The sequence below is a fragment of the Homo sapiens genome, chromosome 7 (genome assembly GCF_000001405.40).
Source record: "Homo sapiens chromosome 7, GRCh38.p14 Primary Assembly".
NCBI lineage: Eukaryota > Metazoa > Chordata > Mammalia > Primates > Hominidae > Homo > Homo sapiens.
In genome coordinates, this window is record NC_000007.14 from 56,089,824 (window position 1) to 56,112,603 (window position 22,780).

Sequence of the window (22,780 nt, forward strand, 5' to 3'; positions counted from 1 at the left end):
CTAATATTTAAGTTTTTTGTAGAGACGGGGTCTCCCTATGTTGCCCAAGCTAGTCTCAAACTCCTGGCCTCAAGCAATCTTCCCGCCTCAGCCTCCCAAAGAGATGGGATTATAGGCATGAACCACCACTGGACCTGGCCACAATTTCCTTTTAAATAGGCCACTCCTGTAGCCTCTCCTTATCTCCCCTTGTTGTGACTGTGTTCTCTGAAAACACACCCCCTTCTAGGACAGGCTTCCTGCACTCCATCCCACTGCTCCTTCCTCATGTTTTTTTGTTTGTTTGTTTTTGTTTTTGGTGTTTTTTGTGGAGACGGAGTCTCAGTCCGTCACCCAGGCTGAAGTGCAGTGGTGTGGTCTTGGTTCACTGCAACCTCCACCTCCAAGGTTCAAGCAATTCTCCTGCCTCAGCCTCCAGAATAGCTGGGATTACAGACATGCACCACCATGCCTGGCTAATTTTTGTATTTTTAGTAGAGATGGAGTTTCACCATGTTGGCCGGGATGGTCTCAAACTCCTGACTGCAAATGATCCACACACCTTGGCCTCCCAAAGTGCTGGGATTACAGGCATGAGCCACTGCACCTGGCCCTTCCTCATGTATTCTATCCATAACTGGGACTTTCATAATCACTCACTCACTCATTCATTACATCTCCATTCTGCAGACACTGAACACCCACTCTTTGCCAACCACCATGCTGGGTGCTCTGAGGGATGGAGAGCTGGGTGGGTCCATCCTGGTCCGCCTCTGGTGTCACTTGTCAGTGTATGCTGTCACCTCCCCCACTAGATTATCATCTCTAGGATGTCCTAGCCATCTCTGCCCCCCATACCCAGTGCAGGTGTCCGGCAGGGGCTATACCTTGAATGTGAGTCAAGGGTTGGGCAGGTACCCCTTTGGCTCAGGGTCCTGCTGGAAGAATGCCCCATGTCCTACTTAACAATGGCCAGTGAGCCCTGAGGGGTCCTGCTGCAGGATAGAGGCAGTACAGAGCCAGGACACTCAGGCCTGTACACAGAGGCGCTGAGCTACCCCGCTTTGTGTCAGGAACATGGAGGCTCCTACCAGGGAACTCAACTCCTGCTTCAGATGTAGGATTTAGGCGTGGCGTGATGGCTCACACCTGTCATCCCAGCACTTTGGGAGGCTGAGGTGGGCAGATCACTTGAGGTCAGGAGTTCGAGACCAGCCTGGGCTACATGGCGAGACCCCATCTCCGCAAAAAATACAAAAATTAGCCAGGCATGATGGCTCTCGGGCCTGTGGTCCCAGCTACTTGGAAGGCTGAGGCAGGAGGATCACTTGAACCCAGGAGGTGGGGTTGCAGTGAGCTGAGAGTGCACCAGTGCACTCCAGCCTAGGTGACGGAGTGAGTGAGACTCTGTCTCAAAAAATAAGACAAAACAGGCTGGGCGCAGTGGCTCATGCCTGTAATCCCAGCACTTTGGGAGGCCGAGGCAGGAGGATCACGAGGTCAGGAGATCGAGACCATCCTGGCTAACACGGTGAAACCCTGTTTCTACTAAAAAATACAAAAAATTAGCCGGGCGTGGTGGCAGGCACCTGTAGTCCCAGCTACTCAGGAGGCTGAGGCAGGAGAATGGTGTGAACCCGGGAGGTGGAGCTTGCAGTGAGCTGAGATCATGCCACTGCACTCCAGCCTGGGCAACAGAGTGAGACTCCATCTCAAAAAAAAAAAGACAAAACAAAACAAAATCAGATGCAGGATTTGAGGAATGCAGAAAACCAACAGGGAAAAGGGCAGATAGAAAATAGGCCCAACCTGCCACTCAGCAGTGCCAAAGCTGCCTCCAACCCCCTTTCCCCCACTGCTTCTGGGCCTAAGAAGGCCTGGTCTCACAAAGGAGCCAATTTGCTGACCAGCCAACAGCAGCTCTGGCTGCCTCCGGGATTGGGCAGGCTGTTCCAGGAATCCTGGTGGCCCCACTACTGGGTGCCTGGTTACCAGAAGAAGGTTTAGAATAACAAGTCCCCTCTGCTGGTGCCAGGCCCCTGGGCTGCTCACACACAGGCCTTCTCTGCCTGCCCCATCAGCAACTTGGCGGAGCCCGGGACTGTCTGTTTCCCATAAAAACAAGCCCATTTGCTGGTAAGTCCTAAGTCCTCACAATGGGCACCTTTGCCTCATCACCTCCCAAAGCTGGGTAGCGCTAGCTCTCTCCTCTCCCCCAGCCCTCCATGAGCAGAAAGTACACTTGGACCCCCATATGAGATGCCAGCCTAGGCGCAAGCCTCCAGTCCTTGGCACAGCCAGCTTGGCCAACTTGTGGCTGCACTCACCTTTCCTGGGGGGCTGAGGAGGCGGTTATCTTGCCCCAGCCCCAGCTCTGACTGGGGCCAACTTTGTGCCTCTGTCTACTGCCCCACCCACCCCTCACACCTTTCCCAAGACCCCTGTGGACAGGGTCACCACATGGGAGTAGGTGGCCCAGTCCTTTTTTTAGACAGAATCTCGCTCTGTCGCCCAGGCTGGAGTGCAGTGGTGAGATCTCAGCTCACTGCAACTTCTGCTTTCCGGGTTCAAGCGATTCTCTTGCCTCAGCCTCCTGAGTAGCTAGGACTACAGGCACGAGCCATCATACCCAGCTAATTTTTGTATTTTTAGTAGATATGGGGTTTCACCATGTTGGCCAGGCTGGTCTTGAACTCCTGACCTCAAGTGACCCTCCCACCTTGGCCTCCCAAAGTGCTGGGATTATAGGCATGAGCCATCGCGCCTGCCTGGCCTGGTACTTTTTGGCACATAACTTCCCTCCCCTGAACTCTGAGTCCAAAAACCAGATCAGTCCCGGGGACCTCTTTTCTGTAGAAAATTCCTGCAGATGGAGGTTTCAAGGGTCAATGCTGCCACTCTCCCTGGTCCATCCGCCTTCAGAAAAGAGACATGGATGGAATGGATGTGGGGGTTTCTATCTTCTCCACCCCCAGTCCTCCCCGCTCCCTGCCTATCACCTGGCTTTTGTCCATCACTGGGCTAGCTACTCACGGTTAAGTGCTTGCAGGCTCTTGAAGGAGCTTGACAAGAATCCCAAAGCCCCCCGGGGAGAGGGGACCACAGAGGGCTGAAGCCGTGTCCCGAGCAGACACTTGGAAGATATCATCTGCTGTTGTTTTGGGTTTTGCTATTTGATGACCGGAGGCTAACGTGCCAAAAATAAATCACAACTGCAAACCCGGGAGGCAGGCCAAGGCTCCGCAGGGACAGGGCATGGAGCCCAGTCTCCGGGCGGAAGGTGGGGGACCTCTGGTGGAGGGTGAGGGAAGCTTGTGTGGCCTGAGACCAGGCCAGACAGGATGTAAGAGTGATCAGTCTCCCCTCTGGAGCTCCCTTGGCCTCCAGGCCCAGAGAACGTAAATCCAGCCTTGTGCGGAGGGCACTTGCTTCTCTGGGAGCAATTTTGATTTCCACGTATGCTGAGAGCACTGCCCTGGAGACTTTCTCAATGCATGACTGCAGCAGCTGACTGCCCGGGCTGTCGCAGGGACAGTGTGCATGATCACCCTACATAATGCAGACCTGTACAGGTTAGGGAGGCCGGGTGCAGTGGCTCACACCCAGCGCTTTGGGAGACCGAGGCGGGAGGATTGTTTAAGTCCAAGAGTTTGACAGCAGCCTGGGCAACAAAGTGAGACCCTGGCTCTACAAAAAAATTAAAAAATTAGCCAGGTGTAGTGGCACACACCTGTGGTCCCAGCTACTCAAGAGGCTTAGTGGGGAGGATCACTTGAGCCTGGGAGGTCAAGGCTTCAGTGAGCTATGATCATGCCACTGCACTCCAGCCTGAGCAACAGAGACTCAGTCTGAATCAATCAATCAATCAATAAGGGACCTTCCCCTGCAGGAATCCACCTCTGATCTACCCTCCATAATTTCATCTAAAAAGCCTTCCTTTAAGGCCAGGCACGGTGGCTCATGCCTGTAATCCCAGCACTTTGGGAGGCCAAGGCGGGTGGATCACCTGAAGTCAGGAGTTCGAGACTAGCCTGGACAACATGATGAAACCCTATCTCTACCAAGAATACAAAAATTAGCCAGCCGTGGTAGTGCACACCTGTAATCCCAGCTACTCAGGAGGCTGAGACAGGAGAATCACTTAAACCTGGAAAGCGGAAGTTGCAGTGAGCCGAAGTCATGCCACTGCACTCCAGCCAGGGTGACAAAGGGAGACCCTGTCTCAAAACAAAAAAACCTTCCTTTAATCTTACATCAGATGTGTGGGTTTTTAAAATTATTTATGTGTTTTATTTATTTTATTTTATTGAGACGGAGTCTTGCTCTGTTGCCTGGGCTGGAGGGCAGTGGCATGATCTCGGCTCACTGCAACCTCTGCCTCCCATGTTCAAGCGGTTCTCCTGCCTCAGCCTCCCAAGTAGCTGGGATTACAGGTGCCCGCCACCACACCGAGCAATTTTTGTATTTTTAGTACAGATGGGGTTTCGTTCGCCATGTTGGCCAGGCTGGTCTCGAATTCCTGACCTCAGGTGATCTGCCCGCCTTGGCCTCCCAAATTGCTGAGACTACAGGCGTGAGCCACCACACCCGGCCTATTTTATTTTTTTGAGATGGAGTCTTGCTCTGTTGCCCAGGCTGGAGTGCAGTGGTGTGATCTTGGCACACTGCAACCTCTGGCTCTGGGGTTCAAGCGATTCTCCTGCCTCAGCCTCCCGAGTAGCTGGGATTATAGGCGCAAGCCACCATGCCCGGCTATTTTTTGTATTTCTTTCTTTCTTTTTTTTTTTGAAACAGAGTTTTGCTCTTGTTGCCCAGGCTGGAGTGCAATGGTGTGATCTTGGCTCACTGCAACATCCGCCTCCCGGGTTCAAGCAATTCCCCTGCCTCAGCCTCCCAAGTAGCTGGGATTACAGGCATGTGCCACCACACCTGGCTAATTTTGTATTTTTAGTAGAGACGGGGTTTCTCCATGTTGGTCAGGCTGGTCTCGAACTCCTGACCTCAGGTGATCCGCCTGCCTCGACCTCCCAAAGTGCTGGGATTACAGGCGTGAGCCACCGTGCCTGGCCCTTTTTTTTGGGGGATGGAGTCTCACTCTTGTTGCCCAGGCTGGAGTGCAATGGCACAGTCTCGGCTCACTGCAACCTCCGCCTCCCAGGTTCAAGCGATTCTCCTGCCTCAGCCTCCTGAGTACCTGGGATTACAGATGCTTGCCACCACACCTGGCTAATTTTTGTATTTCTAGTAAAGACAGGATTTCACCATGCTGACCAGGCTGGTCTCAAACTCCTGACCTCAGATGATCCACTCGCCTTGGCCTCCCAAAGTGTTGGGATTACAGGCGTGAGCCACCATGCCTGGCCTTTTATTTTTATTATTTTATTTTATTTATTTATTTATTTTATTTATTTATTTTTATGAGACAGAGTCTTGCTCTGTCACCCAGGCTGGAGTGCAGTGGCACGGTCTCGGTTCACTGCAACCTCCGCCTCCCAGGTTCAAATGATTCTCCTGCTTTAGCCTCCTGAGTAGCTGGGATTACAGGCACGCACCACCACGCCAGGCTAATTTTTGTATTTTTAGTAGAGACGGGGTTTCACCATTTTGGCCAGGCTGGTCTTGAATTCCTGACTTCGTGATCCGCCTGCCTCAGCCTCCCAAAGTGCTGGGATTACAGGCGTGAGCCACCACACCTGGCCTATTTTATTTTTTTGAGATGGAGTCTTGCTCTGTTGCCCAGGCTGGACTGCAGTGGTGCCATCTTGGCTCACTGCAACCTCCGCCTCTGGGGTTCAAGTGATTCTCCTGCCTCAGCGTCCCGAGTAGCTGGGATTACAGGCGCAAGCCACCATGCCCGGCTAATTTTTGTATTTCTTTTTTTTTTTTTTTTTTTTTGAGATGGAGTCTCACTCTTGTCGCCCAGGCTGGAGTGCAACAGTGCGATCTTGGCTCACTGCAACCTCTGCCTCCCGGGTTCAAGCGATTCTCCTGCCTCAGCCTCCCGAGTAGCTGGGATTACAGGCGCAAGCCACCATGCCCGGCTAATTTTTGTATTTCTTTCTTTTTTTTTTTTTTGAGATGGAGTCTCACTCTTGTCACCTAGGCTGGAGTGCAACGGTGCGATCTTGGCTCACTGCAACCTCTGCCTCCCGGGTTCAAGCGATTCTCCTGCCTCAGCCTCTTGAGTACCTGGGATTATAGATGCCTGCCACCATGCCCGGCTAATTTTTGTATTTGTAGTAGAGACAGGGTTTCACCATATTGAACAGGCTGGTCTCGAACTCCTGACCTCAGGTGATCTGCTCGCCTCAGCCTCCCAAAGTGCTGGGATTACAGGCGTGAGCCACCATGCCCAGCCTTTTACTTTTATTATTTTATTTATGTATTTATTGAAACAGAGTCTCACTCTGTCACTCAGGCTGGAGTGCAGTAGCGCAATCTCGGCTCACTGCAACCTCTGCCTCCCGGGTTCAAGCGATTCTCCTGCCTCAGCCACCTGAGTAGCTGGGACTATAGGCACGTGCCACCACGCCCAGCTGATTTTTGTTTTTAGTAGAGACGAGGTTTCACCATGTTGGTCAGGCTGGTCTTGAACCCCTGACCTCATGATCCGCCTGCCTTGGCCTCCCAAAGTGCTCGGATTACAGGTGTGAGCCACCACCCCCAGCCCTATTTTTATTTTTTTAAAGAACTTTCCTTACCCATTTCATTTTCAGCCTGCAGTTTCTATTGTGAGGAGTTTCATATGCCAGGAAAAACGTGGTCTCTCGGTGCATGTGACTTCCTGCCAGGGTCCTCATCAGTATGAGTCTACCTTACAGGGAGTTGACAAAACTGGCAGCACTGTGCAGCATGCAGGCACACAGTGGACACTTAGTTTTCATTGTTCCCTCTCATTCTAAAACTACCTTTTTCCAAACTCCTAATATTCCAAATTGATGGCAGGGGTGAACGTAGGGGAGACAGTGCTTTACCCATGATCTGAGCCCACAAATATGTTTTTAATTTTTTTCTTTTTTTTTTTTTTGAGGTGGAGTCTCCCTCTGTTGCCAGGGTGGAGTGCAGTGGTGAGATCTTGTCTCACTGCAACCTCCGCCTCCCAAGTTCAAGTGATTCCCCTGCCTCAGCCTCCCGAGTAGTTGGCACTACAGGCGCGTGCCATGGCACCTGGCTGTTTTTAATTTTGTATGTATTTTTAATTTTTAAAATAGAGATGGGAGCTGCGTGCGGTGGCTCACATCTGCAATCCCAGCACTTCGGGAGGCTGAGGTGGGCGGATCACCTGAGGTCAGGAGTTCGAGGCCAGTCTGGCCAACATGGTGAAACCACATCTCTACTAAAAATACAAAAATTAGGCTGGGCGTGGTGGCTCACGCCTGTAATCCCAGCACTTTGGGAGGCCGAGGCAGGTGGATCACGAGGTCAGGATATCGAGACAATCCTGGCTAACATGGTGAAACCCCGTCTCTACTGAAAATACAAAAAGTAGCCGGGCATGGTGGCAGATGCCTGTAGTCCCAGCTACTCAGGAGGCTGAGTCAGGAGAATGGCGTGAACCCAGGAGGTGAAGCTTGCAGTGAGCCGAGATTGCGCCACTGCACTCCAGCCTGGGCAATACAGTGAGACTCCGTCTCAAGAAACAAACAAACAAACAAACAAAACAAAAATTAGTCCGGCGTGGTGGTGGGTGCCTGTAGTCCCAGGTACTCTGGACGTTGAAGCAGGAGAATTGCTTGAACCCGGGAGGCAGAGGTTGCAGTGAGCCGAGATCGTGCCACTGCACTCCAGCCTGGGTGACAGAGCGAGACTCTGCCTCAAAAAAAATAAAAAATAAAATAACAAGAGATAGGGGTCTCACGATGTTGCCTAGACTGGTCTCAAAATTCTGGGCTTAAGCAATCCTCCTGTTTTGGTCCTCCCAAAGTGCTGGGATTACAGGTGTGAGAAACCACACTTGACCACAGATACCTAATTGATACACATTTTACAAAGCACTTCATACAGTTTCACTTGGACAACGAAACCCTGGTATTAAGCCAATTTTAGAGAGATTGTGACTTGGTCAAGGTTGCCAAGTAGGTGAGTCAGAGAGCCTAGATTAACCCCAGATGTTGTGGGCGCCAGCAGTTCCTTATAATGCTGACCATCTGGCTGGGTGCGGTGGCTCACATCTGTAATCCCAGCATTTTGGGAGGCTGAGGTGGGCGGATCATGAGGTCAGGAGATTGAGACCATCCTGTCCAACATGGTGAAACCGTCCCTACTAAAAATACAAAAATTAACTGGGCACAGTGGCACATGCCTGTAATCCCAACTACTCAGGAGGCTGAGGCAGGTGAATTGTTTGAACCCGGGAGGCACTGCAGTGAGCCGAGATCACACCACTGAACTCCAGCCTGGTGACAGAGCTAGACTCGGTCTCAATAATAATAATAATAATAATAATAATGCTAGACTCTGTCCCAAAAATAAAAAAATAATAATAATAATGCTGACCATCTATTTCTTTCACTTTGGGGAAAATTTTTGTTGAATTGTTTACATACAAAAGAGCTGAAAAATACTTCAGGGAATGAGTGCTAAGCATAAAAACCTCCAACTTACTGAAATGCAACACATTGAAACACAAATTCTGCAAGGTTTTAAATACCTGGAACTCTTTAACTTACTGTTTTCTCTTTTTTTTTTTTTTTTGCTTTTTATACAGGGTCTTGCTCTGTTGCCCAGGCTGCAGTGCAGTGGCGCAAACATGGCTCACTACAGCCTTGACCTCTTGGACTCAAGAGATCCTCTCACCTCAGGCTCCTGAATAGCTGAGACCAAAAGCGGGCAACACCATGGCCAGCAATTGTTTTTTCTTTTTTTTTGAGACAGAGTTTCACTCTTGTAGCCCAGGCTGGAGTGCAATGGCACAATCTTGGCCCACTGTAACCTCTGCCTCCCGGGTTCAAGCGATTCTCCTGCCTCAGCCTCCTGAGTAGCTAGGATTACAGGCGTACGTCACCACACCTGGCTAATTTATTTTTATTTTTAGTAGAGATGGGGTTTCACCATGTTAGCCAGGCTGGTCTTGAACTCCTGACCTCAGGTTATCTACCCACCTCGGCCTCCCAAAGTGCTGGGATCACAGGCATGAGCCACTGTGCCAGGTCTAATTTGCTTTTTTTTTTTTTTTTTTTTTTTTTGAGAGAAGAGTCTCACTCTGTCACCCAGGCTGGAGTGTAGTAGCACGATCCTGGCTCACTGCATCCAGGGTTCAAGCAATTCTCCTTGCCTCAGCCTGAGTAGCTGAGACTACAAGTGTGTGCCACCAGGCCTGGCTAATTTTTTTTTTTTTTTTTTTTGAGACAGTCCTGCTCTGTTGCCCAGGCTGGAGTGCAGTGGCACAATCTCATCTCACTGCAACCTCTGCTTCCCAGGTTCAATCAATTCCCCTGCCTCAGCCTCCCAAGTAGCTGGGATTACAGGCACCCACCACCATGCCTTGCTAATTTTTGTGTTTTTAGTAGAGATGAGATTTCACCATGTTAGCTAGGCTGGTCTCAAACTCCTGAACTCAGGTGATCCGCCCTCCTCAGCCTCCCAACGTGCTGGGATTACAGGCATGAGCCACTGCGCCCTGCCTAATTTACCATTAAAAACCTATTTTCTCCCTCACATTTCTAAGCTACAGATTTGACTCTTGCTGGTTTCTAAGGTATCTTCCAAGATTGGTTCCAAGGCTCCTATGGATAACAAAAATCCACGGATGCTCACATCCCTTACATAAAATGCCACATTATTTGCATATAACCTATGCATTTCCTGCTGTATACTTTAAATCATCTCTAGATTACTTATAATACCTAGTATAACATAAACAGGATGTAAAGTTGTTACACTGTATTGTTTAGGGAATGACAAGGAAAATAGTCTACATGTTTCCTACAAAAATGACCATGAATTTTTCCAAAAAATTATTTTGAGACAGGGTCTCACTCTGGGCTGGAGTTCAGTGGTGTGATCATAGATCACTGCAACCTTGAACTGGGCTTCTGTGATCCCACCTCGGCCTCCCTAGTGGCTGGGACTACAGGTGCATGCTACTGCACCTGGCTGATTTATTTTTTGTAGGGATCTCACTTTATTGCACAGACTTCAAATATTCTCAATCCTCGATTGGCTGAATCCATGGACACCAAACTCAGGGAATTGGAGCGCCAACTGGACAATCAATGAATGCATCACAAAATCCTTTCTGACTTTAGGGCAAAAGGCCAGTGCACCTAGAGGATTATTCCACACCTTTCTCCTTGTAGCAATGACTCCTACCAGGGAGTAGGCCTGGCCAGTCACGCTTACATTTCGTCATTTTTCTTTGATTCAATTTATTTGAATCACCACTACACCTGGACACGAGGGACATCTGAGCATTAACACTACAGACTCACAGAGGTCCCGAGCCTCCAGGAAAATTAGCAAAAGTGTCTTCTATAAACCCAGGAGGGAATATGCCGGGGAACTGGCCAGGAGTGAACTGTGCTGAGACCCTCTTTCTGAAAGGGAGCCTCTTTCAGGAACTGAATGTTTAGGCACTCCAGGAACACAGCTGATAGGAGGCGAGACAGCAACTGGCTAATTCCCTCAATCACCAGCATTTCACTCACCTGGCAGTGATGCAGGGCTCTGAAACTCAGAAAAAAATCAGAAAACAGAACCTACGGAGGCCAGGTGTGGTGGCTCATGCCTACAATCCCAGCACTTTGGGATGCCGAGGCTGGGGGATCACCTGAGGTCAGGAGTTCTATACCAGCCTGATCAACATAGTGAAACCATCTCTGCTGCTCACTTCAAAAAAAAAAAAAAAAGACCTGCTGATCCTTTTGTAGTTAAGTGTGATGACAGGGTTTTCACACTCATGAAGTGTGCCTCCCTCAAAACTGGTTGCATTGACACACTACCCATCTGACATGAAAAAAGTGGCCTACTCCAAATTGAATTCCATCCCCTTAAAGTTCTTCCCTAGCACGGAGTGGGGGATGGCAGTTAGCCTGAGTGTTTTAGGAAGAGGAGGCTACAACACCTTAAACAGAGCAAAAGCACCTTCAGGGGAACTGCATATATTAAGAATGGTTTTTTATCTTCAATCAGGGGCGTCCAAGGGAGAGAATGCAGTCATGGGTTTAGTTACAGTTTATGGTTAGGCCAGTAAAACCCCTTCCTCATCGCTCTTTTCCACTTATCACTAGAGACAAACTATAACTCCAGGCTGCTAAAAGCCTAAAGCAAAAGAAAACAGAACAAAAGGTGGGTTGCACAAGCTTGCTTGGAAACAGTAGAGGAATAGTGATACGCAGTGCTGACCTAGCCACAGGGAACCCACCCCAAATAGACCTATTCCTGTTTCCTTTATCATTCACCTGATTAAAACAATGTATTTTTTTTTTTTTTTTGAGACAGAGTCTTGCTCTGTCAGTGAGTGCAGTGGCATGGTCTCAGTTCACTGCAACCTCCACCTCCTGGGTTCAAGTGATTCTCCCGCCTCAGTCTCCCAAGTAGCTGGGATTACAGGCACATGCCAGCACGCACAGCTTTAAACAATATTTTAAGCAGAGTTTCCTGCTACTGCTCAGCTTACATAACTCCAGACCCACAGCAGCTAGAACCTTTGAATTGAGCAGCATGTTATGTTTGCAAGTGAGCTACTCCTTATATAACCCCTCAGGGAGCTGTCAGATCTGGGAGGATGCTAATTTCATAACCAGAGACTATAGACTAAATGAACCATACCTTGGAAGAAAATGACTTTATTCTAATTAACTCACAAAGAATAAAATCATAACATAACAGCTAGTTTAAGGAGGCCACACAAACATTTGCCCAGTCCCAGATTCTACAGAGTAGGGACACCCCCACTTCCATTTCAATTCTGAAGCAAGGAAGCCAGGAATGACAGGAGAGGTTTAACTGATGGTTACACTTTATACCCTCACTATCAATTCTATTTTTATACTAAATTAACTTAGTTATGAGAGCTGATTTTCCATCTCTCCAGGTTGAACTTCTTCATTAGGCCAATCCTGCAAACAGAAAAGATTAAGTTAGAAGAATGCTAGCTTCGTATACTCAATAAAACAGAAGCCTTCCAAATTATGAAAGCAGCGACAAAAGGCCAAGGCTATGGGTTTTTTGTTTTTTGTTTTTTTTTGATAAAAAATAGAGATGAGGTCTTGCTATGTTGCCCAGGCTGGTCTCGAACTCCTGGACTCAAGCAATCCTCCCACCTTGGCCTTCCAGAGTGCTGGGTTCCAGGAAGGTTATGGTTTTGTTTGTAAGCTACTGAAGGCATCCTACAACTAACAAGACACCCTGAATCTCCGGAGTTCCCCTGAGGAACTTAATTAACTCCTTTCACTCAATGAGGTACAGATACCAGGTATCAGTCTTTTTGTCTATTCCTGGATTTTGGTGAAAACAGAATCTAATCTTATATTCGCAGCCTTAAGGTTAGAAGGTCACTTACATCCAGTAATCACAGTAAGATCTGGCATACTGATTTATACCTTCTTTTTTTTTTTTTTCTTTTAAATTTGAGACAGTGTCTCCCACTGGAGACACCCAGTTGCCCAGGCTGGAATGCAGTGGCAGGATCTTGGCTCACTGCAACCTCCGCCTCCCGGGTTCAAGCAATTCTCCTGCCTCAGCCTCCTGAGTAGCTGGGATTACAGGTGCCTGCCACCACACCCAGCTAATTTTTTGTATTTTTAGTACAGATGGGGTTTTGCCATGTTGGCCAGGCTGGCCTCAAACTCCTGACATCAGGTGATCCACCCGTCTTGGCCTCCCAAAGTGCTGGGATTACAAGCGTGAGCCACTGTGCCTGGCCTATACCTTCTAAAGGAAGAAAATTCAGAAAATTACTCATAAAAATGACTAGAAACCTCCGGCCCAGTTGTTAGGAGTTAATTCTAGAGAAATTTCAACAAAGTCTTCTCTAATTTATTAAACACAGATTACCCTAAGTTCTACAGGATCCAGGAATTCCACTGTGAATTAAGCAGATGTAAATTGGACAAATTACCTACCGTTTGCAAGTCGGCACTGTTTCAGCACCTCATTGAAACCCTCACAGAGCTTGATGTCACCCTGGTTCTGGGCACACTCCAGAAACTGTTTGATCTCATAGAGGCAAGGCTGCTGCTGCTGTGCTGGCTGGGTTCCCTGAGGCTCCTGCAAAGGCAAAACATTCAACATTGCTGAGAAAGAAAATCATACTTATGCCTAGACAATGAAGAGTATCCATCCTCTTTGAGGTTAATGGAAAATGGAACTAGCACCAGATGCTAATTAAAGTTTCCAACTATTAACATGGGAAGTGAAAACATTTAAATCTTCATTTACTTAAAAAATATTTTAGGCCAAACATGGTGGCTCACGCCTGTAATTCCAACACTTTGGGAAGCCGAGAAGGGTGAATCACTTGAGGTCAGGCGTTTGAGACCAGCCTGGCCAATATGGTGAAACCCCGTCCCTACTAAAAATACAAAAATTAGCCAGGCGTGGTAGCAGGCACCTGTAATCCCAGCTACTCGGGAGGCTGAGGCAGGAGAATCGCTTGAACCCGGGCGGTGGAGCCTGGATAACAGAGCGAGACTCCACCTCCAAAAAAGAAGAATTTAAATAAATATTTTTAGTAAAGACAGGGTTGCGCTATGTTGCCCAGCCTGGTCTCAAACTTCTGGGTTCAAGCAATCCCTTCACTTCAGCCTCCCAATGTGCTGGGATTATAGGCATGAGCCTCCGTTCCCAGCCAAAAGTGAAAATATTTAAAAGCTGAAAGCCAACAGTTTTAACAAAATTCCAATTACAACCAGAAAGATTCCTAAATAAAGATGCAAATAAAGTGGAATTATTATCTTGTTATCAAGACTAAATGGTTTACTGAAGCTTCAGGGAGGAAAAATGGTACTATTATAGAAAACTGGATGGAGCAGTTTCAAGCACACCGGAAATACAAGAGTATACACACCTATGCTCATTAGACTAGAAAGCCCACACACATCAGAAAGATGGGTAATGGCAAACATCACGTAAAAGAACACACAGCTATGCGAGATTTTTGATTTGTTAACTAAGATCAAGACAAGATTAGTAGGAAGTGTCACTGGGATGAAATATTCAAAGGGAAAAGTGGTTGTTTTACAGTGAGTCAAGTGGACTGTTGTAAGTCTCCTCCTTGGGAAGAAACACAATTTGTACAGTACTTGTTGGTGCTGGCCTAAGGCAGTAACTCAACGGCCAAATGTGGCTTTAAAACCCATTGTCTATTAACAGCACAGTGGGTTCTAAAATCAAAGACAATTCCTACACTTAAGGAACTTACAAACGTCTGGCTTTTCTCATAAAATCCACCCATGGAAGGGAAATGCTGCCTAAATTCCCACCTGGTAAGTGATGTCAGGCCTCGCAGGCTCAGCATTACTTCCTCCACTGAAGCCCCCAGTAATGGCGTGACCCAATGTGTGCCCCACAGCAGAGCCCACAGCCACGCCAGCTGCAGTGGTTGCCATCTGGGCCATCAGACCTGGCTGCCGGGGCGCAGCAGCAGAAGAGCCAACTGCAGATGGGGGTGCCGCTGCTGGTGGCTGAGCGACTGGTGCTGGCCTGGGTGCAGCTCTCATCTGAGGGGCCCGGCTGTGAAAGAAAAGAAAAAAACATCAAGTTCCCAATTCCAACCAGTTTTGGAAATTGTCAACTTAAAATAACTTACATATTAAAATGGACCTCAAGATTTTCATTTCAAATTATTTACATCATTTTCTCTCTTCAATTTTTTTTTTTTTGAGATGGAGCTTCGCTCTTGTTGCCCAGGCTGGAGTGCAATGGTGCAATCTCAGCTCACTGCAACCTCCACCTCCCAGACTCAAGCGATTCTCTTGCCTCAGCCTTCCGAGTAGCTGGGATTACAGGCACCCGCGACCACCTCCGGCTAATTTTTTGTATTTTTAGTTGAGACGAGGTTTCACTATGGTGACCATGGCTGGTCTCCAGCTCCTGACCTCAGGTGATCCACCCGCCTCGGACTCCCAAAGTGCTGGGATTACAGGTGTGAACCACCACGCACGGCCTAATTTTTTTTTTTTTTTTGAGACAGGGCCTCACTCTGATGCCCAGACTGGAGTGCAGTGTCACGATCCAATCTCACTGCAACCTCTGCCTCCTGGGTTCAACCGATTCTTCTGCCTCCGCTTCCCAAGTAGCTGGGATTACAGGCGCGCACCACCACACCTAGCTAATTTTTGTATTTCTAGTAGAGACGGAGTTTCACCATGTTGGCCAGGCTCGTCTCGAACTCCTGACCTCAAGTGATCCACCCGCCTCGACCTCCCAAAGTGTTGGGATTACAGGCATGAGCCACCACGCCCGGCCACTTTAATCTTTTCTTATAATAGTAATAGCCTAGGACATACTAGTTTTTTCTGCTTCTTTGCAACAATTTCCATGTATTCGGATAGCCCACAGTATCTTTAAAGACATATCCAACATGTCATAAGAAATACAGACTACTAAAAGTTAGAAAGATTCTTACAGGATTCATTCATTCAAGTATTAGGTAACTACAAGGCGCTGGTAATGTAACTGTGAACAAGAGACAAAAATCTCTGCATTCATGGAGTTTACATTTTATTGACGGATCAAATAATTAACATAGGCTGCGGAGTGGTGGCTCTTGCCTGTAATCCCAGTGATTAGGGAAGTGGAGGCGAAAGGATCATTTGAGGCCAGGACTTTGAGACCAGCCAGGGCCACATAATGAGACCCTGTCTCTGCTAAAATATAAAATAGAATAAAGTCGCCAAGTGTGGTGCACAGGTGGCGCATGCCTGTAGTCCCAGTTACTCTGGAGGCTGACGTGGTAGAATAGCTTGAGCCCAGGAAGTCAAGGCTGCAGTTAGCCATAATTACGTCACTGCACTACAGCCTGAGTTAGACTCTGACTCAAAATATAAATAAATAAACATTCTAATTAGGACTTAAAGATGGTCAACTGGGGAAATAATCTAGTCCAATTCCTTCATTTTACACATTACAAAACAAGACTGGCCAAAGTGACTCGTCTGAACTATTATACCAAAAGCAACTTCAACTATTCCTCATCTGTTCAACGTTCAGATGCTTTCAACAATTTCGAGACCCCTTCTCAAATAACAAAAGACTAATTATGTCCTGCACGTATTTAAAAATCTTCATATGTATCACGCTCCCTCTGACCATTTCCGGATTATTTCCTTGGGTGCTCTTTTCCCCGAAATCAAGCTAGGTCAAAATTTATGCCTTCCTACCACCTGGCCATAACGTTATGCCTTTCCCGTTGTTTGGATAGGAAGCTTTTTCCGTAAGTGAATTCCCTCCCCACACTCCCCTAACATAGGCTTTACGTTCAATCTACCCCCGCCTGGCAGAGGCGAGCCCACGCCGCAGCCGACCTTAGTTCACCCCCGCCCGCGGCCTCCCTCTGCGTCATTGCCCCAGTAGAGTCCGGACGGCCGCGCTTTGGTCTCAAACCCTGCGATGGTCTCACCTGGCCGGAGGGGCCATGCGGGAGGTGCGGCTTCGGCTTCCACGCGGCATCCTAGGTAAGCGACGGCTAGGCCTCCGGACGTGGGACAACCACCGAAGAGCTAAGCGACTTCTGAGGAGACCGGAAGATGGGAGGCGGGGCTGGCCTCAACGCGCAACCAACCAGCACACAGGCAGAGAACTTCCGTTCTCCGTCGTCTCCGCAGGCCTGAAGTTCATTGGAAGAGCAGGACGTCACGGGGACGCCTCGTCCTTCGCGGTCAACGCCCTGAACTTGGCGCCAGGATCTTTAAAACCCGGAAGTTCCTGTGGTTCATCCGCGAACCTTGTCCTCCGGTCCTCGCATCAGAGCACTTAGCATTTTGCTTCCCTAGGGCAGCTGGCCTGTCGCTCCGTCCTTCAAACATTTGTATTAAATCCAACCTTAAGAGTGACTCACATCTCTGGCTGGATTGCCAGGGGACCTTGGGCAGATTTCTTAGCCTTTCTGAGCATTCAGTTATAAGGGCAAATATTTTTGGAGGCACAGTGTGGACGCGTAGTATGAACTGAATGAAAGAAATCGGTTTCGTCAAAAATAAACAGAGTTGAATTAGTTGTATTTGGTATTTCTCTTTCTTGTCTGTGGATCCAGTCAGCAAAAGTTAAATTCAGGCAGCAATAATGTTTTACATTTATGTATTACTATATATTTTCAGCTCCTTTTCATATGTATTATAGAATTTGTGTCCAGAATTGGGACAGTAACCATACACTGGTAAATTCAACAAAAATTTACTGTCTAACTGGGTTATGGAGATACTGCACCAAATCAGATAAGATTCTACCTTCACGAAGTTAAGTTTCAAGGAGGGGAGACACAAACGCCTACGTAAATCAGGTGGTGGTGACATGAAAAGAGAGGAAGGAGACTGGAAATTAGAGGTTAGGCGGGGCGGGGGGGAGTCATTTGAACGGAGCCCTTGAAGAGGTGGGGAAGCAAGCCATGTGTTTATGAAGATAAGAACACTACAGGAAGAGAGAACAGCAATTGCAAAGGCCCCAAGGATCTGTGCTTTAGTGATACTTGGTGTGAAATGCTTTTTTTTTTTTTTTGAGACGGAGTCTGGCTCTGTCGCCCAGGCTGGAGTGCAGTGGCGCGTTCTCAGCTCACTGCAGCCTCCGCCTCCCGGATTCAAGCGATTCTCCTGCCTCAGCCTTCCGAGTAGTTGGGATTACAGGCGCACGTCAACCCGCCTGGCTAATTTTTTATTTTAGTAGAAACAGGGTTTCGCCATGTTGGTCAGGCTGGTCTTGAGCTCTTGACCTCAGGTGATCCATCTACCTCGGCCTGCAAGGGCTGGGATTACAGGCATAAGCCACCAGGCCCAGCCTGAAATGCTTTCAACAGTTACATTAAACATCGCTAAAATAAGGGGAAATTTGGCTAGTGGCATTTCATAAGGGGCTCATGGGAAAGTCCCTTGCGGTTGGAGTGAGGTTTATTGAGGAGAGGAAGCACACATGGAACCATTTCTGCTTGATGTCAATCAGAAATTTCTCCCTTCCATCAGAGGAAGTAGAGTTTAAAACAGCCTTCCTGTGTCCCAGCAACAGCAGAATGTACTTGGAACTAAAGGGTGAATAATGTGGCAGCTAAGCTATGAGGATGCAAAGGCAAAAGAATGATATAATGGGCTCTGGGGATTTGGAGGGATGTGCTAGGTGGGTAAGGGATAAAAGACTACACTGTTGAGTACGGTGTACATTGCTCAGGTGATGGGTGCATCAAAACCTCAGAAATCACCACTAAAGAACTTTTCCATGTAACCAAACACCACCTGTTCCCCCAAAAGTATTGAAATAAAAAGATTTCAAACAATAAAAAGGGTGAATTATATAAAAATCTTTTGTAAAAAACAAAGCTTTATTTTTACATAACTTCTTAAAAGAATGAATGCTTTACAAATAATAAGACTTTTTACTTGCTTTTAGATAATTCAAAAGCAGAGATGAAGAAAAGCAGTCTTATAAAGGATACATTCTGGCACAAGAAGGGTTTAGAGCGAGGAGAACTTTGGACAGTTCAAGACAGAAAGGAATCCAGACCAGAACAGGCACCATTTTACTCAAACGTGGCTAAGTCATTCATTCCTAAATTGAAAGACTATTAGATGTTCACACAAAGTTATTTTGTGTTGGTAAGGGATTGGAGAAAACCTAAATTCCTGCCAATAGAATATTGGTTAAAAAAATAATGGCAGGCTGGGCGTGGTGGCTCACGCCTGTAATTCCAGCACTTTGGGAGGCCGAGGTGGGCAGATCACAAGGTCAGCAGATTGAGACCATCCTGGCTAACATGGTGAAACCCTGTCTCTAGTAAAAATACAAAAATTAGCCGGGTGAGGTGGCACGTGCCTGTAGTCCCAGCTACTCGGGAGGCTGAGGCAGGAGAATGGCGTGATCCCAGGAGGCAGAGGTTGCAGTGAGCCAAGATTGCACCACTGCATTCCAGCCTGGGCGACAGCAAGACTCCATCTCAAAAAAAAAAAAAAAAAAAAAAGACACATTCACATAATATGCAACTATAAAAAAAGAATGAGGAATCTTCTCTGTATATTGATGTGAAATGATTTCCAAAATAAACTACAAGTGATAAAAAAAAGGAAGGGGTAGAATTGAGTACAGTGTGCTATTATTTGTGTAAAACAGAAAAGACCATATTGGATATGCATAAAATATCTGAAGTTGATAACACTGGTTGCCTTCAGGCAGTGGGACTGGGTGTCTGTGGTGCGGGGGGCAGTCAGTAGCTTTTGGATTTTGAAGCAGTTAATCTATTCTATCCAAAAAACAAATTAAGAAAAAGTTAATTAAAACAAAGAACAAAAAACTCAGAATGGAAAATACCAGAATTCTGCTATATACCATTTATAGTTTGCTGGGACAGATGTGTGAAGTTCACTCTGTTTTTTTGAGACAGAGTTTCGCTCTTGTTGCCCAGGCGCAATCTTGGCTCGCTGCAACCTCCACCTCACAGGTTGAAGCAATTCTCCTGCCTCAGCCTCGCAAGTAGCTGGGATTACAGGTGTGCACCACCATACCTGACTAATTTTGTATTTTTAGTAGAGATGGGGTTTCACCATGTTGGTTAGGCTGGTCTCAAACTCCTGACCTCAAGTGATCCACCTGCCTTGGCCTCCCAAAGTGCTAGAATTACAAGTGTGAGCCACTGTGCCTGGCTAGTTCACTCTTTAGTAAAATTTCTATAGCAACTTCTCATCCCATAGTGATTTCAGTCACTCTCAACAAATTTACTTACAGTTATTAATATCCGAACTTTTGCAGGTTTTATCATAGATATGACATTGGCTGAATGGACTCTTGAATATTGTAGTAAACATTCTGCTCAAATTAGGTAACAGGTGTTTGAAGTTTTAAAATTATGCAAACTGTATTCCAGAAATTTTACTTCTAGGAATTTAAGAAACAGTGAAGATTGTACAAATAAATGTGTCGTAGGGATGTTTATTTAACAAAATGTGTAAAACAGGAAAAACTTGTAAACAACCTAAGTGTCCTATAATAGAATTCGTTAAATAAGTTATGATACATATATATGATGAAATGTATGCAGCCATTAAAAAATATTATGAGGGGCTGGGCACGGTGGATCAAACCTGTAATCCCAGCACTTTGGGGAGCTGAGGTGGGTGGATCACTTGAGGTCAGGAGTTTGAGACCAGCCTGGCCAACATGGTGAAACCCCATCTCTACTAAAAATACAAAAAATTATCTGGGTGTGGGTGGCTCATGCTTGTAATCCCAGCTACTTGGGAGGCTGAGACAGGAGAATTGCTTGAACCCGGGAGGCGGAGGTTGCAGTGAGTAGAGATTGCACCACTGCACTCCAGCCTGGGCGACAAGAAGGAAACTCCGTCTCAAGAAAAAAAAAAGTTAGGAAAGAATATTTGACGTGAAAGGTATTTTTACAATACATACAATACATTGTGTGAAAGAGAAGATTACACAATAGTACACAGTGTGTTTATAGTTTGAGAAAGTAAATATATATTTTGAATATTGGAATTATATATACCCAACTAGTACTGTCATCCATTGAGTCATGGAATTATAAGTGACTTTTTTTTTTTTTGCTTGTCCCTATTTTCCAGTTTTTCTACAGTGACCATACTTGCCATAATTAAACATAGCATGGTAGTTTAAAATATGTCCACAAATTCTTTGATATTCTCTTCAAAAGGTGGAGCCCAGTCCCTATCCCCTTGAGTGGGGGCTGGGTTAACTGATTCCCTTCTGACAGATAGGAAAAAGCAAAAGTGATGGTTTGCAACTTTGCAAACTACATCATAAAAGGTACTGTGGCTTCCTCCTTGTTCACTCTTTGATTACTCACTTGGGAAAGCCAGCTGTCACACCATGACACCTAAGCAGCCTGTAGAGAGGCTCATGTGACAGGAAGTGAGGCCTCAGGTCAGCAGTCACCTTAAGTGAGCCACCTTGGAAACAGGCTTTAGGTGACTGCAGTCTCAGTCGACAGCTTGACTGCAATGTCATGAGACACCCTGAGCCCAAATGACCCAGCTATGTCACTCCTGAATTCCTGACCCACAGAAATGGAGATCTAAGTTTTTTTTATATTTATTTATTTTTGAGACAGTCTCTCACTCTGTCACCCAGGCTGGAGTGCAGTGGTGTGATCTTGGCTCACTACAACCTCTGCCCCCCGGGCTCAAGTGATTCTCCTGCATCAGCGTCCTGAGTAGCTGGGACCACAGGTGCGCACCACCATGGTTGGCTAATTTTTGCATTTTCTGTAGAGATGGAGTCTCATGATGTCGCCCAGGCTGGTCTTGAACTTCTGGACTTGTGATCTGCCCACCTCGGCCTCCCAAAGTGTTGGGATTACAGGCATGAGCCACTGTGCCTGGCCCTAAGTATTTATTTTAAGCCACTAGGTTTGGAGTAATTTGTTACATAGCAGTAGATAAGTAATACACATATTTCCTACAGTGACCACATTTACAATTTAAATTTAATTAAAAAGGCCAGGTGCAGTGGCTCATGCCTGTAATCCCAGCACTTTGGGAGGCTGAGTCTGGAAGATCGCTTGAGCCCAGGAGTTTGAGACCAGTCTGGGCAACATGGCAAAACCCCTGCTCTACAAAATACAAAAAAAATTAGCCAGGTGTGGTGGTGTGTACCTGTGGTCTCAGATACTTGGGAGACTATGGTGGGAGAATCACTTGAGTCCAGGAAGTTGAGGCTACAGTGAGCTGTGACTGTGCAACGGTACTTTAGCCTGTGGGACAGTGAGACTCTGTCTCAAAAGAAAATTTTTTTTGGCCAGGGGTGGTGGCTCATGCCTGTAATCCCAGCACTTTGGGAGGCCGAGGCGGGCAGATCACAAAGTCAAGAGATCGAGACTATCCTTGCCAACATGGTGAAACCCCATCTCTGCTAAAAATACAAAAATTACCTGGGTGTGGTGGCATGTACCTGTAGTCCCAGCTACTTGAGAGGCTGAGGCAGGATAATCACTTGAACCCAGTAGGCAGAGGTTGCAGTGAGCCGAGATCACACCACTGCACTCCAGCTCAACAACATTTTTTTTTAAATTAAAAAGTTCTACTAGCTAAATAAGCAAAATCACCAGGTGCAGTTGATCACACCTGTCATCTCAGCACTTTGGGATATTGAGGTGGGAAGAACATCTGACGTCAGGAGTTTGAGACCAGCCTGCTGTGAGCAGAGATTGCACCACTGCACTCCAGCCTGGGAGACAGAGACCCCATCTCAAAAAAAAAAAAAAAAAAAAAAACACATAAAAAACCAACAAATGCATTTGAAAAGAACAGCATCAGCCAGGCACAGTGGCTCACGCCTGTAATCCCAGCACTTTGGGAGGCCGAGGGTAGAGGATAGCTGAGCCCAGGAGTTTGAGACCAGCCTCGGCAACATGGTGAAAACCTGTCTCTACAAAAAATACAAAAATTAGCCAAGTGTGGTAGCATGCACTTGCAGTCCCAGCTACTTGGGAGGCTGAGGGGGAAGGGATTGCTTGAGCCTGGGAGGTCAAGGCTGAAGTGAGCCATGATTGCACCACCACACTCCAGCCTGGGCAACAGAGCAAGACCCTGTCTCAAAAAAGAAACAAACAAACAAAAAAAAACATGTAAAAACAAAACAAAACAGAACAGCATCATTTCCTTATCATTAGTTTGAAGGAAGTGAATTGCCT

The 22,780-nt window shown here is 47.0% G+C and overlaps 2 protein-coding genes and 1 pseudogene across 9 annotated transcripts in view, besides 3 other annotated features; 1 reads left to right on the forward strand and 2 right to left on the reverse strand.

The window, feature by feature from the left end:
* PHKG1 (phosphorylase kinase catalytic subunit gamma 1) overlaps window positions 1–3,129 on the reverse strand; it is a 12,658-nt gene extending 9,529 nt beyond the window's left edge. For all 7 annotated transcript variants that reach the window (NR_047689.2, XM_005271772.6, XM_017012326.3 and 4 more), the window contains exon 1: window positions 3,013–3,129. The gene's annotated coding sequence lies outside the window, so the exon portion shown is untranslated. The remainder of the gene's footprint in view (window positions 1–3,012) is intronic.
* LOC124901852 (uncharacterized) lies at window positions 10,836–10,929 on the forward strand (annotated as a pseudogene).
* On the reverse strand, window positions 11,750–16,653 carry CHCHD2 (coiled-coil-helix-coiled-coil-helix domain containing 2). 2 transcript variants are annotated; one of them, NM_016139.4, is made up of 4 exons: window positions 16,541–16,653; window positions 14,403–14,652; window positions 13,044–13,188; window positions 11,750–12,038 (listed from the first exon to the last, which is right to left on the reverse strand). In NM_016139.4, exons 1-4 carry the CDS (start codon window positions 16,588–16,590, stop codon window positions 12,028–12,030), a joined length of 456 nt encoding a protein of 151 aa, NP_057223.1. In that variant the 5' UTR covers window positions 16,591–16,653; the 3' UTR covers window positions 11,750–12,027. The 2 variants fall into 2 exon arrangements, with proteins under 2 accessions (NP_057223.1, NP_001307256.1); NM_001320327.2 differs by having other exon boundaries at window positions 13,040–13,188.
* Window positions 14,052–14,552: an enhancer, noted in NCBI's record as "H3K4me1 hESC enhancer chr7:56171568-56172068 (GRCh37/hg19 assembly coordinates)". NCBI's record gives its function as "activates a minimal SCP1, AML or CMV promoter by ChIP-STARR-seq in naive H9 embryonic stem cells {active_cell/tissue: H9 hESC(naive)}" and the evidence as "EXISTENCE:reporter gene assay evidence [ECO:0000049][PMID:30033119]".
* Window positions 14,553–15,053: an enhancer, noted in NCBI's record as "H3K4me1 hESC enhancer chr7:56172069-56172569 (GRCh37/hg19 assembly coordinates)". NCBI's record gives its function as "activates a minimal SCP1, AML or CMV promoter by ChIP-STARR-seq in naive H9 embryonic stem cells {active_cell/tissue: H9 hESC(naive)}" and the evidence as "EXISTENCE:reporter gene assay evidence [ECO:0000049][PMID:30033119]".
* Window positions 16,398–16,737: an enhancer, noted in NCBI's record as "active region_26053". NCBI's record gives its function as "activates an Ori minimal core promoter by ATAC-STARR-seq in GM12878 lymphoblastoid cells {active_cell/tissue: GM12878}" and the evidence as "EXISTENCE:reporter gene assay evidence [ECO:0000049][PMID:35858748]".